The 15,913-nt window shown below is 43.3% G+C and overlaps 1 protein-coding gene across 1 annotated transcript in view, besides 6 other annotated features; it reads left to right on the forward strand.

Moving 5' to 3' along the window:
* Nucleotides 1-15,913, forward strand: part of ABL1 (ABL proto-oncogene 1, non-receptor tyrosine kinase) — a 174,633-nt gene that overhangs the window by 15,555 nt on the left and 143,165 nt on the right. The gene's annotated exons all lie outside the window — the stretch shown is intronic.
* Nucleotides 1-15,913: part of a biological region, named in NCBI's record as "ABL breakpoint recombination region", that runs on past both edges of the window. NCBI's record gives its function as "recombination_partner: LOC107963947 | LOC107963948 | LOC107963951 | LOC107963955 | LOC107966121 | LOC107966125".
* Nucleotides 1-15,913: part of a mitotic recombination region, noted in NCBI's record as "ABL minor-breakpoint recombination sub-region recombines with the BCR-ABL minor-breakpoint cluster region, producing the e1a2 transcript", that runs on past both edges of the window. NCBI's record gives the evidence for it as "EXISTENCE:nucleotide sequencing assay evidence [ECO:0000219][PMID:20703256]".
* Nucleotides 1-15,913: part of a mitotic recombination region, noted in NCBI's record as "ABL major-breakpoint recombination CML sub-region recombines with the BCR-ABL major-breakpoint cluster CML sub-region within the BCR-ABL major-breakpoint cluster region, producing the e13a2 and e14a2 transcripts", that runs on past both edges of the window. NCBI's record gives the evidence for it as "EXISTENCE:nucleotide sequencing assay evidence [ECO:0000219][PMID:20703256]".
* Nucleotides 1-15,913: part of a mitotic recombination region, noted in NCBI's record as "ABL major-breakpoint cluster ALL sub-region recombines with the BCR-ABL major-breakpoint cluster ALL sub-region within the BCR-ABL major-breakpoint cluster region, producing the e13a2 and e14a2 transcripts", that runs on past both edges of the window. NCBI's record gives the evidence for it as "EXISTENCE:nucleotide sequencing assay evidence [ECO:0000219][PMID:20703256]".
* Nucleotides 898-1,734: an enhancer, noted in NCBI's record as "H3K27ac-H3K4me1 hESC enhancer chr9:133604882-133605718 (GRCh37/hg19 assembly coordinates)". NCBI's record gives its function as "activates a minimal SCP1, AML or CMV promoter by ChIP-STARR-seq in primed H9 embryonic stem cells {active_cell/tissue: H9 hESC(primed)}" and the evidence as "EXISTENCE:reporter gene assay evidence [ECO:0000049][PMID:30033119]".
* Nucleotides 1,735-2,571: an enhancer, noted in NCBI's record as "H3K27ac-H3K4me1 hESC enhancer chr9:133605719-133606555 (GRCh37/hg19 assembly coordinates)". NCBI's record gives its function as "activates a minimal SCP1, AML or CMV promoter by ChIP-STARR-seq in primed H9 embryonic stem cells {active_cell/tissue: H9 hESC(primed)}" and the evidence as "EXISTENCE:reporter gene assay evidence [ECO:0000049][PMID:30033119]".

Genomic DNA, 15,913 nt, shown 5'->3' on the forward strand with positions numbered 1-15,913 from the left:
GCCAGGATGGTCTCAATCTCCTGACCTTGTGATCCACCCGCCTCAGCCTCCCAAAGTGCTGGGATTACAGGCATGAGCCACTGCGCCCAGCCTGTTTTTTTTTTTTATAGTTTGTATTTTTCTGCTGAGATTCACCATGTTTTCATTCATTAGACCTGTCTTTTCCTCTAAATCCTAGAAGGTATTTGTAATAAAGACCGTGCCTGCTAATTTAAATATCTGAGTCATCTTGGGGTCTGTTTTTATTGATTGCTTTTTCTGTACATTATGAGTCAGATTTTCCTGCATTTTTGCATGTTAAATAATTTTGATTGTATGCCAGACATGTGGGTGTTATATTGTAGGGATTCTCAATCTTGTTATCTTTCTTTAAAGAAGTTTTCATTTTGTTTTGACAAGTAGTTAGGTTACTGTAGTTACTTAAATTACTGTAAGTGACTGGTCGTTAAGTTAGTTTGACCCTGCCAGGTTTGGTTTTATGCTTTGTTAGTATGGGTTTATCCTTGGTCCAGACACCCGGCCCTTAGAATAGAGGGTACTCTTTAGACTTAATGCTTGGCCTTTTTGGGGTCGAAACAAAATAACAGAGGTGCTCAGCAAAGTCTCTCCACCCTGGATGAACTGGTACTTGAATGTCTTCCAGCACTGTGAAACCTCTGTGTCTGTGCAGTTCTCAGCCTCACAGCCACCGCTGTCTGCTAAACTGCATAGAATCTGGAAGCCATGGACCCACAGGATGCCTCCCACCTTCTTCTGCCTACCTCTGTGTTCTGTCACCCCACCCATGCCCTCATCTTCTCTCAGATTTCTTGCCCTACAAATTCTACCTGCCTCAGCATCCTCAAATCCAAGTCTTTGCTTCCTCAGTTCACAGAGATGGCTGCTGTCAGTTTAGGTTTCATCTCCCTGCACTGTGTTTGGGAAGGTGCCCCAGGCAGGAAGTTGGAAGCAACATGCAACTTACCTTATGTTTTTCTCTTTCCTCAAGGGTCACAGCCTTGCCTTGCCTTGCCTGTCATCTAATGCCTGAAAACAGTCGTCTCAAATATTTTATTCAGCCATACAGTTGTTTAGGACAAAAGGATATCTAATACCACTTTTACTGCATTATGGACAGAAGCAGAAGTTCAATTCTGCATATTCTTTTTTTTTTTTTAAGATGGAGTCTCACTCTGTCGCCCAGGCTGGAGTGCAGTGGTGTGATCTTGGCTCACTGCAACCTCCACCTCCTGGGTTCAAGCGATTCTCCTGCTTCAGCCTCCTGTGTAGCTGGGACTACAGGCATGCACCACCACACCAGGCTATTTTTTTTTTTTTTTGCATTTTTGGTAGATAGGGTTTCATCATGTTGGCCAGGCTGGTCCCGAACTCCTGACCTCAAGTGATCCACCTGCCTTGGCCCCCCAAAGTGCTGGGATTACAGGCGTGAGCCACTGCGCCCAGCCAGACTTTTTTTTTTTTTTGAGATGGAATTCTGCTCTTGTTGCCCACGCTGGAGTGCAATGGTGCAATCTTAGCTGACCGCTACCTCCGCCTCCTGGGTTCAAGTGATTCCCCTGCCTCAGCCTCCCGAGTAGCTGGAATATGGACATGTGCCACCAAACCCAGCTAATTTTGTGTTTTTAGTAGAGACGGGGTTTCTCTGTGTTGATCAGGCTGGTCTCGAACGCCCAACCTCAGGTGATCCGCCCACCTCGGCCTCCCAAAGTGCTGGGATTACAGGCGTGAGTCACCGCGCCTAGCCTCCGGCCAGACTTTTAAATGTTAGCCTTGCAGGTAGTTGTGCAGTAGTATCTCCCAGCCTTAATTTGCTCTTCTTTGATGACTCATGAGGTTAAGCACCTTTTCATATGTTTACTGGCCATTTGGAATATATGTGTACCTATGTATCTCTTGCCAGTTCACCTCTTTTGTCCATTTTTCTATTTATGTTTATTCCTCATTGATTTTTAGGAGTTATTTATATTTTTTTTCCTTTTTTTTTCTTTGTTTGAGGCAGAGTCTTATTCTGTTGCCCAGGCTGGAGTCCAGTGGCACAGTCTCGGCTCACTCCAACCTTGACCTCCTGGGCTCAAGCGGTCCTCCAACTTCATCCTCCTGAGTAGCTGGGACTATAGGTGTGTGCCACCACTTCTGGTTAATTTTGGCATTTTTTGTAGAGTTGGGGTTTTACCATGTGGCCCAGGCTGGTCTCAAACTCCTGAGGTCAAACCATCCACCCACCTCGGCCTTCCAAAGTGCTGGGATTACAGGTGTGAGCTACCGTGCCTAGCCTGTGTACTCTCAATACAGGTCCTTCGTTGGGTGTATTTATTATGACTATTTTCTTACACTTTGTGGTTCACCTTTTCACTCTTTATTTACATAATTATAGCCATTGTGCGTTTTCACTCTATCTCTCTTTTTTTTTTTTTTTTTTTTTTTTTTGAGACAGAGTCTTGCTCTGTCACTCAGGCTGGATTACAGTGGTGTGATCTCGGCTCACTGCAACCTCCGCCTCCCAGGTTCAAGAGATTCTCCTGCCTCAGTCCCCCGAGTAGCTGGGATTACAGGCGCCCACCACCATGCCCAGCTAGTTTTTGTGTTTTTAATAGAGAAGGGGTTTCACCATGTTGGCCAGGCTGGTTTTGAACTCCTAACCTCAGGTGATCCACCCACCTTGGCCTCCCAAAGTGCTGGGGTTACAGACGTGAGCCACTGCGTCCGGCTGCTTTTTCACTCTCTTAATGGTGTCTTTGATAAACCTTAATTTTGACTTAGTCTAATTTAATCTTTTATGGTTAGTACTTTTTTTGTGGTCTGTGTAAGAAATCTTTGTGTCTACCCTAAGGTCACAAAGAAGTTTCACTCTCTTACATCTCATGTTTATAGTTGGCCTGGAATTGTTTTTTCTGTGTAGGGGCGAAGGTTCATTTTTTCCCTCATATTGACCTAGCTGTTTAATTGAAAAGAACATCTGCTGCTGTGTAAATCAGGTATACATGTACGTGTGGATCTGCTGGGGAACTCCTTCCTGTTAATTTGTTTGTCTTTCCTTGCACCAGTATTACAATGTATTACTGTAGCTTTAAAATAAATCTTAATGCCTGGTAGAATAAGGCCTCCTGTTTTGTTCTTCAATATTGTCTTGGCTTGCTCCTTTGTATTTCCATATACATTTTAGAGTGGGTTTTATCAGCTTCCATACCCAAACAGAAATACCCTTAAGGATTTTCTTCTCTGATTGCACTAAATCTATAGGTTTCTTTGATCCTAGAAATGAATAATAGAATATAAAGAATTCTTATTGATGAAAGAAAGCTATTTCAGGAAACTTTTTTTTTTCTGTTAATGATAAAGGCTAAATGATTCCTGTCAATTGTTTCAAATTTTCAACTTTCAAAATACCTGCTGCTTCTTTCCAATTCACCTTTCTCTATTCTTTTTTTTTTTCCAATTGTATTTTTCTTTGACACTCAGTACTTGTCCCTTGATAGTGGAGACCATGTTTATACATTTTCATGGATCGAACAGTATTTTTTTTTAACAGACTAGCTACTTAGTGAATACGCAGTTGAATCTACTTGTTTGGCAGGTTCAGGCATTGAACAAGTACTAAGTGCCTGTTCTGTATCAGGTACTGTGTCAGTCTGGGGTAAGAGAGCCAGGAACAACATAGCCAACAAAAGGCTCTTTGTGTCTAATTTATATTCCTGAGGACCACCACTGGCCATCTGCTTGGGAGAATGGTTATGGCTTGAATAAACAGTGTGGAATGGGTCCAGGGAACCGGCTGAGGAAAGGGGACATTTACTCAACCTGATCTTCTTTGTTAAGCAGTGGAGAGACCCCTGGTGGAGCCAGCAGTATCCTTTATCTATAATAGCTTGCTTTTCATCTTTTTTATATCAGTGGCTGCCTGTGGCCTCTCACCAAATCTGGTGGACTCATTTTCTCTGTGTATTTAGTTTTTCTCCTGGAAATGACTAACAGCTGCTTAAGTCCTTATTCCTTTCTCCAGGTTTCTGGTGCTGCCATAATTTGTTCTATCCACTTGGGATACTGCTGTAGTGGGAATATTGTCCCTGTTACCATCTTCAGGTTACAAACCTTTTCCCCAGCTTGTGGTAAAATCCCGGGGGTCTGGTGGATCCCACGCATTTTAGGATGTATATGGGAAGCTAACATTATAGGCACAGTGTTTTTTTTTTTTTCACTGTGTCCGTCTGTTCTTCAGAGGAGCAAAGGCTAGCATGACCTTTAAGTCCTCCTTTAAGAGTACTGAATTTCTGCCAGGAGCGTGGCTTGTTCCTCAAGTGTCGCTAGGTGAATTGTTATTAGCAAGGAGGGATGAAATTGCGAAATCTTAAAAAGTAGAGAATTCCTTCAGATTTCATTCTTGAGAGGTAGAAAACAGGAAATAGAATTGCTAAACAGAGAAGGGGAGTGTTTTTAATAGAGATATTTGTATGAGAATAAGAGGATGGAGCCATAATCTGAGGATGCCTGTCTTGTTTGCTCTTTGGCTTAGTTGGATCTTGGGTTGGTTTACTTCCTGTACAAACTGTGAGTTAGTAGGGACTGAATTTACAGTAATATCTAAACTGATTGGAACCTTCACTTGAACAGAATTGAGTTTTGGCGTGTTCACTTTTAAGAGAAAGAAACAAAGGCAGCCAACCCAGTATCAAGAGTTTAGTCAAAACAAACAACTCCCAGATTTGCCTTGGTAGTGAATAGATTCAGCATGTTTGTACTTTCTATTTCTTCAGTATCATATAGTAATTTATTGTTTCATTGGTGATTTTGCAGCATCCTAGGTTGCAAAGAATATCTCTTGTGGATGTGTAAAGTTAAAAAAAAATTTTTTTTTCTTGTAGCAGGGTCTCAGTGTTACTCAGGATGGTCTTGAATTCCTGGGCTCAGGTGATTCTCCTGCCTCCGCCTCTCAGGTAGCTGTGAGTACAGGCGTGCACCACTGCGCCTGGCTGTAAAGCACTTTTTTTTTTTTTTTTTTTTTTGAGACAGAGTCTCACTCGTTGCCCAGGCTGGAGTGCAGTGGCGTAATCTCGGCTCACTGTAAGCTCCGCCACCTGGGTTCACACCATTCTCCTGCCTCAGCCTCCCGAGTAGCTGGGACTACAGGCGCCCGCCACCGCGCCTGCCACCACGCCCGGCTAACTTTTTGTATTTTTAGTAGAGATGGGGTTTCACCATGTTAGCCAGGATGGTCTCGATCTCCTGACTTTGTGATCCGCCCGCCTCGGCCTCCCAAAGTGCTGGGGTTACAGGTGTGAGCCACTACGCCTGGCCTGTAAAGCACTTTCATATACTTTTTTGTGAGGTCTATGGTATAGGCAGGATACGCATTATTCCTTTCTTTCAGTAGGAAAACTTGTGCTTTGGGTAGTCGTGTTTTTAGGGTTACATTGCTGATTAGTTTTAGAGCTGTGGTTGAAATCAAGTGTCTCTTGACAGCTTGAGTGTTTTTCAATTGGAAACATTACTTTTTGAGGATAGACTAATGCATTTTGAAAACATTTGCATCATTGAAATGAGTGGGGTCTAGCTTTAGAATTTAATCAAATTTTTAATTTTTTCACAATTTCGTGGTATGATTTTTAATACTCTATTGAATATTCTTTTTTTTTTTTTGAGATGGAGTCTCGCTCTGTCACCCAGGCTGGAGTGCAGTGGCGCGATCTCGGCTCACTGCCAGCTCTGTCTCCTGGGTTCATGCCATTCTCCTGCCTCAGCCTCCCCAGTAGCTGGGACTACAGGCACCCGCCACCATGCCTGGCTAATTTTTTTTGCATGTTTAGTAGAGACAGGGTTTCACCGTGTTAGCCAGGATGGTCTTGATCTCCTGACCTCGTGATCCGCCCGCCTTGGCTTCCCAAAGTGCTGGGATTACAGGTGTGAGCCACTGCGCCTGGCCTGAATCTTCTTTTTTTTTTTTTTTTGAGACAGGGTCTCACTCCGTCACCCAGGCTGGAGTGCACTGGCATGATCTTGGCTCACTGCAATCTCTGCCTCCCAGGTTCAGGCAATTCTCCTGCCTCAGCCTCCCGAGTAGCTGGGATCACAGGCGTGTGCCACCAAGCCTGGCTAATTTTTGTATTTTTAGTAGAGACAGAGTTTAGCCATATTGGCTAGGTTGGTCTTGAATTCCTGGCCTCAAGTGATCTACCCGCCTCAGCCTCCCAAAGCGGTGCAATTACAAGTGTGAGCCACTGCGCCCAGCCTCTATTGAATATTCTTACCCTTTGGTAGTTGAGTGTTTTGGAATGGCGGTGTGTAACAAACATACCTTATGTATGCTTTTATGATTTATAATTTTATGCTGTTATGAAATTTTATAATTATAAAATTATTTATAATTTAAAAAATTTATACATTGTCCTACAAGCTTTGTGGCAGTTTTACGATTTATTTTAAAATTAAATTGAACTTTTTTTGTTGTGTTTTTTTGAGATACAACCTTGCTCTGTTGCCCAGGCTGGAGTGCAATGGCATGATCTTGGCTTACCGCAACCTCCGCCGCCTGGGTTCAAGCGATTCTCCTGCCTCAGCCTTTTGAGTAACTGGGATTACAGGCACCTGCCACCACATCTGGCTAATTTTTGTATTTTTAGTAGCGATGGGGTTTCACCATGTTGGCCAGGCTGGTCTTGAACTCCTGACCTCAGGTGATCAGCCTGCCTCAGCCTCCCAAAGTGCTGGGAATACAGGTATGAGCCACTGTGCTAGGCCTAAATTGAACACTTTTGAATAGATAATACATTTTCTAATTTAAACTACAAAGCTACAGAACAAACATGTATTTTCAGAAGCTTGCTTGCACCTCTGCCACTCTGTCCTTTTCCTTCTCCTACTCCTCTGGAAAATTTTTTGTGTGTGGTTTTTTTTTTTTATCCTTCCAGTGTTCTTTTTTGCAAATACAAGCAAATATATATTTATTACACAAAAGATAGCATACAGTATATACCGTTCTGTACCTTCTTTTTTGTTTTTCCCTTAATAGATCCTCAGGATCTCCCCATATTGGAATATGTATATCTTCCTTCTTTTTATGGCTGCATTGAATTCCACTATCTTGGAAGTATCATTGGTTTTCCAACCAGTTCCCTTTCTGGACTTTTGGAGTGTTTCCAGTCTTTAGATATGATAAACAGTGCTTCAGGGGTAACGTTATAGCTGTGGGAGAGATTCCTAAAAGTCGGGGCACTGGGTTTAAGGGTACATGCGTTTGTCATTTCTGTTAGTAGATGGATTCTACTTGGTAGATAGCTACCATTTTGCGTATGTCTGTGTGTATATATATGTGTGTGTATATGTGTGTGTATGCATGTGTGTGCATATATATATATATATATATATATATATTTTTTTTTTTTAAGACAGGGTCTGGCTCTGTTATGCAGGCTGGAGTGCAGTGGCATGACCTCGGCTCACTGCAGCTTCAGTCCTCGGGGCTCAAGTGATACTCCTGCCTCAGCCTCTCTAGTAGCTGGAACTATAAATGTATACCACTATGCCTGGCTGTTTTTTGTATTTTTTGTAGAGATGGGGTTTTGCCATGTTGCCCAGGCTGGTCTTAAACTCCTGGGCTCAAGTGCCTCCTTGGCCTTCCAGAGTGTTGGGATTATAGGCATGAGCCACCACACCTGGCCTGTATTAATATAGAGTAATAGAGATCTATATTGGTAGATATTTCCACATTTTCTTCCGTAGACATCATTCTAGTTTACAGTCCCATCGCTGGTAATACAGAGGTTGCCTTCATCCCCAAAGCCTAGCTAAGAGAGTGTATTGTCAAGCTTTGGGACTTTTTCCAATCTGATATCTAAGAAATAGTATTTTAGTATGGTTTTAAATGGTAGGTCTTCTGTGAGTGAGGTTGAACATTGTTTTGTTTTGTTTTGTTTTTTGAGACGAAGTTTCGCTCTTGTTGTCCAGGCTGGAGTGCAGTAGTGTGATCTCGGCCCCACCGCAACCTCCGCCTCCTAGGTTCAAGCAATTCTTCTGCCTCAGCCTCCCAAGTAGCTGGGATTACAGGCATGTGCCACCACACCCGGCTAATTTTGTATTTTTAGTAGAGACGGGGTTTCTCCATGTTGGTCAGGCTGGTCTCAAACTTCCGATCTCAGGTGATCTGCCCACCTCGGCCTCCCAAAGTGCTGGGATTACAGGCGTGAGCCACTGTGCCCGGCCGGTTGAACGTTTTTAACATGTTTAGGGGAGATACATACTTATCTTTCTGTGAACCATCTCATCAGGTTCTTTGTGTGGCAGATATTTAAATAGGAAACTATGTAGGGCCTAGTTGATTGCCTATATAGAATCCAGTACCCTGTCTATGCCCCTTCACTGCCCAAGCATGTCACAAGGAACTGCCCTATTCCAAGCTCCAGAGGACCTGCTGAGTAGGTGCTTTTCAGGAGCTTGAAAAGACTGTTTCCAGGTCTACCCCCAGGGGTTAATTTAATTGGTCTGGGGAGAGGCCTAAGTATCAGTTTTTTTGTTTTGTTTTAGTTTTTTAGTAAGGAGAGACTTTATTGAAAAGGATTTTTGCAAGGAGGGGAAAACGACTGTTGAAATAGGGAGGACACTCTGACCATAAGGAGGTGTGCAGGCATCTTCTTTTTCAAAAAATGTTTTCAGTTTTAAAATTTAAAAAAAAATTTATTTTATTTATGTATTTATTTTGAGATGAAGTCTCACTCTGTCTCCCAGGCTGGAGTGCAGTGGCGTCATCTCAGCTCACTGTAACCTCCACCTCCCGAGTTTAAGTGATTCTCCTGCCTCAGCCTCCCAAATAGCTGGGACTACACGTGTGCACTACCACACCCAGCTAATTTTTGTATCTTTTGTAGAGATGGGGGTTTCACCATGTTGGCCAGGCTGGTCTCGAACTCCTGACCTCAGATGATCCACCCGCCTTGGCCTCCCAAAGTGCTAGGATTACAGGTGTGAGCCACCACACCCAGCCACCTGGACATGTTTAAAGAACCCAGTACCTCAGGTTTAAGGAGCTTTTATGTTTGGTCCAGACTACGTTTCAGGGAAGCCACAAGCAGAGTTTAAAGCCTGCTGAGCACCGAGCTGGTTCTTGGTGCTAACAGGGCTGAGACTAGTGAAAAAGTCATGTTGAGGCATCTGCTCAGTTCCAGTGTCTTCCTTGGCATCTGCTTGTGCCTACTGTTTGCCCCCTTTGCCTGTGTGTTAAAACAGCCTCTGTCTCAGAACAGTGTCTTTTTTTTTTTTTTTTTGAGACAGAGTCTCACTCTGTTGTCTAGGCCGGAGTGCAGTGGCACAATCTCGGCTCACTGCAACCTCCACCTCCCAGGTTCAAGATATTCTCCTGCCTCAGCCTACCAACTAGCTGGGATTACAGATGTGCACCGCCACACCCAGCTAATTTTTTGCGTTTTTAATAGAGATAGGGTTTCACCATATTGGTTAGGCTGGTCTCAAACTCCTGACCTCGTGATCCGCCCACCTCCACCTCCCAAAGTGCTGGGATTACAGGCATGAGCCACTGCAGTGTCCTTTCTTGAGGAATGGTGGTCTATTAGGAGAAAAACCAAAAGATAAGACCCGAGACCAAGGAAATTGTAGTCTCAATGCAAAGATACAATCAGAACATTGCACAAGGGGGAAAGAAATGTCATGCTAGTGTTTGTATTTTAATTGTCTTTCCTTATTTAGACCAATAGTAGTAACAGGTAACTTGGGTTGCATGCTTACTAAGTTCCAGGCAGTAGTCGAATAACTTTTAATATTTAATATTCAGAACAATAAGGAAGAAATGAAAACTAAGAACTTACTAGCAATCCGGAGTTTATATTTCTTGAAAAGCTCATTACAGGTAGTTGCTGGAATGAGATAGTTTGTGTGCATGAAGAAGAACACACAAAAATATTAAAACATGACATGAGTGATGGTAATACAGCAGGTCCCCAGATAATGGCCTTTCATTCACTATTGTTTCATTATCATGTTGATGAGAAAAAAAAATCAATTCCCTGCTGGAGCTACTGTCTATTTGGAATTTACACATTCTCCAGTGTCCTCGTGGAACTTAACTCTTGTTTATATCAATTACCTTGCTGATTGATGGACAAATCATGGAAAATTGGTTTTGTTATATGTCATTTTGCTCAAAGCCCCAGTTTCCAAGAACCTATCAATGACATTAAGTGAGAACTTACTGTAGTTATTCCCTCCCCATTCAAAACAAATTTATTGTTTAGAGGATATAAGGAGAAAACATTTTTTCCCTCAGATGTATCCTTCTGTGTGTTATGTGTCTTTTTCTTTTGAGACAGGGTCTTGCTCTGTCGCCCAGGCTGGAGTGCAGTGGTGCGATCTCGATTCACGGCAACCCCCACCTCCCTCGTTCAAACAATTCTCCTGTCTCAGCCTCCAGAGTAGCGGGGAGCCACCCGCTACAGGCGCGTGCCACCATGCCCGGCTAATTTTTGTATTTTTTTTAGTAGAGACGTGGTTTCACTATGTTGGCCAGGCTGGTCTTGCACTCCTGACCTCAAGTGATCCACCTGCCTCAGCTTCCCAAAGTGCTGGGATTACAGGCGTGAAACACTGTGCCTGGCCCGATATGTGTCTTTTTAGGCAAGCAGTGCTTATGTTGTTTGTTAGTGGTAAGCTGCCTTTGTAGCTCTGTGTTACCTTGAGTGAGACATGATGTGATGTTTAGTTCGTAGCATCCTCAGCACTGTCTTATTCACAATCATTGTCAATCTAAATGCATAGTCCTTCCTGATTTTTTTTTTTTGAAGGCTTTTTAAAAAAGTTTAATTGAGATATGGTTACAATGGAGAAAAACCTTCAGGAAATATAAATGTAAAAAAAATTTTTAAGCTTTATTATTTATTATAAAAACAACATACATTTTTGTAAATTATTCAATCAAGGAAAATTGATTCAGAAAGCTATTTGAAATTCAATCAGCATGATCAATGATACTTTAACCCCTATTCAAATGAAAGTTATCCTAATTAAAAGTAGGTGCCCTAAGACCATTTTTCAGGGTGCATTTGGGTTCTATTGCTTCCACATCAGGAACTCATAATTACTGTATGGATTTTATAAGTTGATCCAACCATGGTATGACTTCTGTGGGTACTGGTAAGTCCACATCATTGCTTTGTAATAATGTATAATCATGACTGGATGCAGTGGCTCACGCTGCAATTTCAGCACTTTGGGAGGCTGAGGTGAGAAGATTACTTGAGCTCAGGAGTTTGAGACCAGCCTCCAACATAGGGAGACCCCAACATAGGGAGACCGCATCTCTACAGAAAATAAAAAATAACAATAAAAAATGTGTAGTCACAATGTTAAAGTGAATCAGAAGAGTTGCTAAGTTATGATCCTTTAATTGAATCAAAGTTTTTTGTTTAAATTGGCTTGCTGAGGAGTTTCCAGTAAATTAATAATGAATTATGTAATTAATATTATGTTAATATTAAATGTTATTTTAATCAGGTCACTGCCCTGCATGCCAACTTCCACTGAAGTGGGAATGTTTCACAGTGATTCAGTGGCCAATTAGCAATGCTCAGATTCGCCATTTATTGAGAGATTCACACACACACAATCAATCAAACATTCACAATGTGGTTATTAAAGGCTGTAATTAGGGGGACAATGAACCACAGGGATGGCTCAGAAGGTCAGAGCACTGATGGACCCTCAAGTGGGTTGGAAGTCCCTTGGATGCTAGTAAGTGAGGAGTGGCTGTTCCTCTCCTGGAGAGCCGCTGGGCGGCAATTGTCATGCTAGGAGGAGGCCTCAGAGTTCTCATGGGCAAAGATTCCAAAGGCGCCCCAGACATCATCAGCTCCTTGCTGTGTGTATGATTCTCCAAAGGTCTGCCCAGTATCATGGTCTCAGCCAGCTCTTGGCTCCATTTTTCCATCGGTGGTGGTACTATGCCACAGCAGGTGTTATTATCTCACCACCTTATTCTATTAGACGTATGTTTATCACTTCGAAGAAAAACAATTTTACTATGATCTCAGTTGCCAGGCTAGTACACATGTGCTTATCATTCTTTGTTTGCTTTTCTTTTGAGTCAAGGTCTTGCTCTGTCACCCAGGTTGAATTGCAGTGGCACGATCATCGCTCACTTCAGCCTGTAATTCCTAGGCTGAAGGGATCCTCCCACCTCGGTCTCTTGAGTAGATAGGACTACAGGTGTGCACCACCACACCCAGATTTTTTTTTTTTTTTTTTTTTTTGTAGAGAAGGGTCTCACTCTGTTGAACTCCTGGTGGCCTCAAGGGATCCTCCTACCTCGGCCTCACAAAGTATTGGAATTACAGGTGTGAGTCACTGCAGCTGGCCTTCACTTATCACTGTGAGGAGTAAACAGCTGCATGGTGGGCTTAATGCCATCTAACACGAGTGACTCCATGTTCAGACAGTAGGATCACAAATGATTATTATATAGCAATGAATGGCCACAGGTACATAGACTAAGGAGCCACATCCCTGCTCCTGGGATATCCTTTAGTCAAAGGGCTAGAAGGGTCCTGGAGGTTTGCCACTTCTCCGTGTTGAGGTACAGAGTTCCTAGACTAAGGGACTGGCTGCATTGTTATGTGTGAGTGCTAGTCATGGTGCTGCCTGGCACCCACAAATGCCACAGCAGACCCATGGTCGAGGGAGAGGAGCAGGAATACCAGTTACCATGCCGGAGTAACAGTTACGGCACTGATGCACCAGTTACCATGCCAGAGTAACAGTTACAGCACTGGTATACCAGCTACCATGCCGGAGTAACAGTTACCACACTGATATACCAGTTACCATGCCGGAGTAACAGTTACCGCACTGATGCACCAGTTACCATGCCAGAGTAACAATTATAGCACTGGTATACCAGCTACCATGCCAGAGTAACAGTTACCACACTGATATACTAGTTACCATCCCAGAGTAACAGTTACCGCACTGATGCACCAGTTACCATGCCAGAGTAACAGTTACAGCACTGGTATACCAGTTACCATGCCGGAGTAACAGTTACTGCACTGATAATACCAGTTACCATGCTGGAGTAACAGTTACCACACTGGTATACCAGTTACCATGCCGGAGTAACAGTTACCGCACTGGTATACCAGTTACCATGCCAGAGTGACTGATTTTGACCAAGACCTTTGGGTTGTACAGAAGGGGTGAGACCATACCTGTCCTCAAGCATTTCCAACCTAGTGTAGAGAAAAACAGGAGCAAGATAAGAACAACGTACTGAAAAGGAAATTGGATGAGGGCCTGGAAAAAGGGGTAAAGTGAGCTGGTTGGGATTGGTGAGTGCCACAGCTTCCTGCCCCTTAACAGATCAGTGCCATGGTGGCTGTGGTGTCCCTGGCCCAGACCTTCTCAGACAGGGCCTGGGTGCCCTTTACAGAGCAGTTGGGAAGAGAAGGGAACCTAGCCTTGTGACCTTTTGCTCCACAGACCTAGTCCTTTGTTGTGGTGCGAGGCTCAGTCGTCAGCCCACCGAGTCATGTATGTTCTCTGGTTGCCCCTGGTTTTGGCTGAACTCAAAGGATGGCTGTCTGTGAGGAGTACTGGTACTTTTTGCCACTTGTGTGCCCTAACTGTGGTGGATGCCATTTTGGGGATTATGCTCAGCAGTGAGTCACGTGAGATGCACACGTAGCTTTTCGGTGATTAATCCAGGTCAATGCCCTTACCCACATACTTCTGAGATGTACTGATGATGACTACATTTAAAGCTTTTTCTCCATTGGCTAGAAGTTGAGACCCATTTCAACAAAAGCACTTCCACCTCTCCTGAAGTGCATTGGGAAAACTGGAGGCCATTACTAGATTTACAGATGATGGGCCGTGCTTAAATAACCCATCTTAGCTAGACTCCAGGTTTCGTCACATATTCCCTACCTGTTGCTGCCATTGAGGGCTTTCTCTGTGCTAGGCACTACCAAATAATGCTTTGGTAACTTTGGTAATTTGGTAAACTTGGTAATTTGGTAAATTTGGTAATAAAGAGCCTTTATTCTAAAGTGCAAATCTAAGTTTGGGGTTCAGTAGCTCAAAACTCTCTGGTGGTTCCCATTATATAGAGTAACAGTCTTCATTTTAAAAAAGGTCATGTACCCTTATTAGAATTTTGTGAGCAAACAAATATGTGTGTATCGTATGTATGTTTATATGTATATCAGATGTACGCACATTAGTATGTGCTATTAAGATACTTTATATTATATAATATATACTGTATAATACCGTATATTATAAAGCATTCATAAAATGAAAATGAAGATGAAATAAATTGCATTGTAAATATTTAAAACTTTAAAAAATGCGTTACTGGTACAAAATTTTTTTGTTTCTAAAAAATTATTATTAATGAGCAATGGGACTGAATTTGCTTCACCGTTTTTTTAAAATCTTGATTTAACATTTGTCATACAGCTATTTTAACATCTTACACTAAAGTTGATTCTTGTTTTTTGGAGACAGAGTTTCGCTCTTGTTGCCCAGGCTAGAGTGCAGTGGCGTGATATCGGCTCACTGCAACTTCCATCTCCTGGGTTCAAGTGATTCTCCTGCCTCAGCCTCCCAAGTAGCCAGGATTACAGGCTTGCGCCACCATGCCCGGCTAATTTTTGTATTGTTAGTAGAGATGGGGTTTTGCCGTGTTAGCCAGGCTGGACTTGAACTCGTGACCTCAGGTGATCCACCCGTCTTGGCCTCCCAAAGTGCTGGGATTACAGGTGTGAGCCACCACGCCCAGCCTAGTTTATTCTTTTAATAGTGCTTGGGGGAGGTAGCCTCTAAGATGACCCCCAGTGATTCCCCACCTCCTGGTATTCCTGGCTCTTTTGCAAATGTCAATTCTAATTTGGTCCTAAGGTCTCTCTCTTGAGAGTGGCTATAGATTCTAGCCCTGCCCAGGAAAATAGGTTTGAATGCATTGGTCAGGTGAGACACAGAGCAGCACAGCAAGACACATGAAATAGCAGAAGTATTTTTATTACTTACTGATCCCAGAGAGGAGAGAGAGAGAATCCTGGGCCAAAACCTTTATTGGGAGTCCAGGGAGTTTCCCAAGTGGGTTTCCTAGGGCTATTATGTTACCGAAGCCAATAGTTCTAATTGATGGGTTTAAAGGGAGCAGGCACAAGCTTTGTGGGGGTCACGCTGTGATTGAGACATGGTCACTGTAGCATATTCATCTAGTACTTGTGGGGTCGGGGAACAAGAGGGGTGAGCCACATAGGCCCTATGTAGCTGTCCTGTAAAGAGGTAGGGGAGGTGGCCATCAAGAGGCATGGTGTTAGGCAGATGTCTGGAGTGGCCACATTGAGGGATTGGAAGCGGGTGTGTTTCTATGCTCCCTTAAGGATATTTTTGGAAACAACATGCTTGCTGCATACAAATATTCAAACATTTTATCTTTAAAACAAATTTTAGTACTGGTAACATTTATTAACTTTTTTTTTTTTCCTGTTCCCTAATTTGCTACCCAGCTTTTACATCAAAGCTCCTATCACAACCCTTCTTGTTTTTTTCTTTTTTTCCCTGAGACGGACTCGCTCTCTTTCGCTAGGCTGGGGTGCAGTGGCCACAATCTCGGCTCACTGCAACCTCTGCCTCCCGGGTTCAAGAGATTCTCCTGCCTCAGCCTCCCGAGTAACTGGGACTACAGGCGCATGCCACCATGCCCAGCTAATTTTTGTATTTTTAGTAGAGATGGGGTTTCACCGTGTTGGCCAGGATGGTCTCGATCTCTTGACCTCGTGATCCACCCGCCTCGGCCTCCCAAAGTGCTGGGATTACAGGGGTGAGCCACCACGCCTGGCCCCTTCTTGTTTTTGTAGCTTGTCACATGATGAATGCTTTTTACCCTGGGGGAGACCAAGACTTTGAGTAA

This window comes from Homo sapiens, chromosome 9 (genome assembly GCF_000001405.40).
Source record: "Homo sapiens chromosome 9, GRCh38.p14 Primary Assembly".
In the NCBI taxonomy this organism is placed as follows: Eukaryota; Metazoa; Chordata; class Mammalia; order Primates; family Hominidae; genus Homo; species Homo sapiens.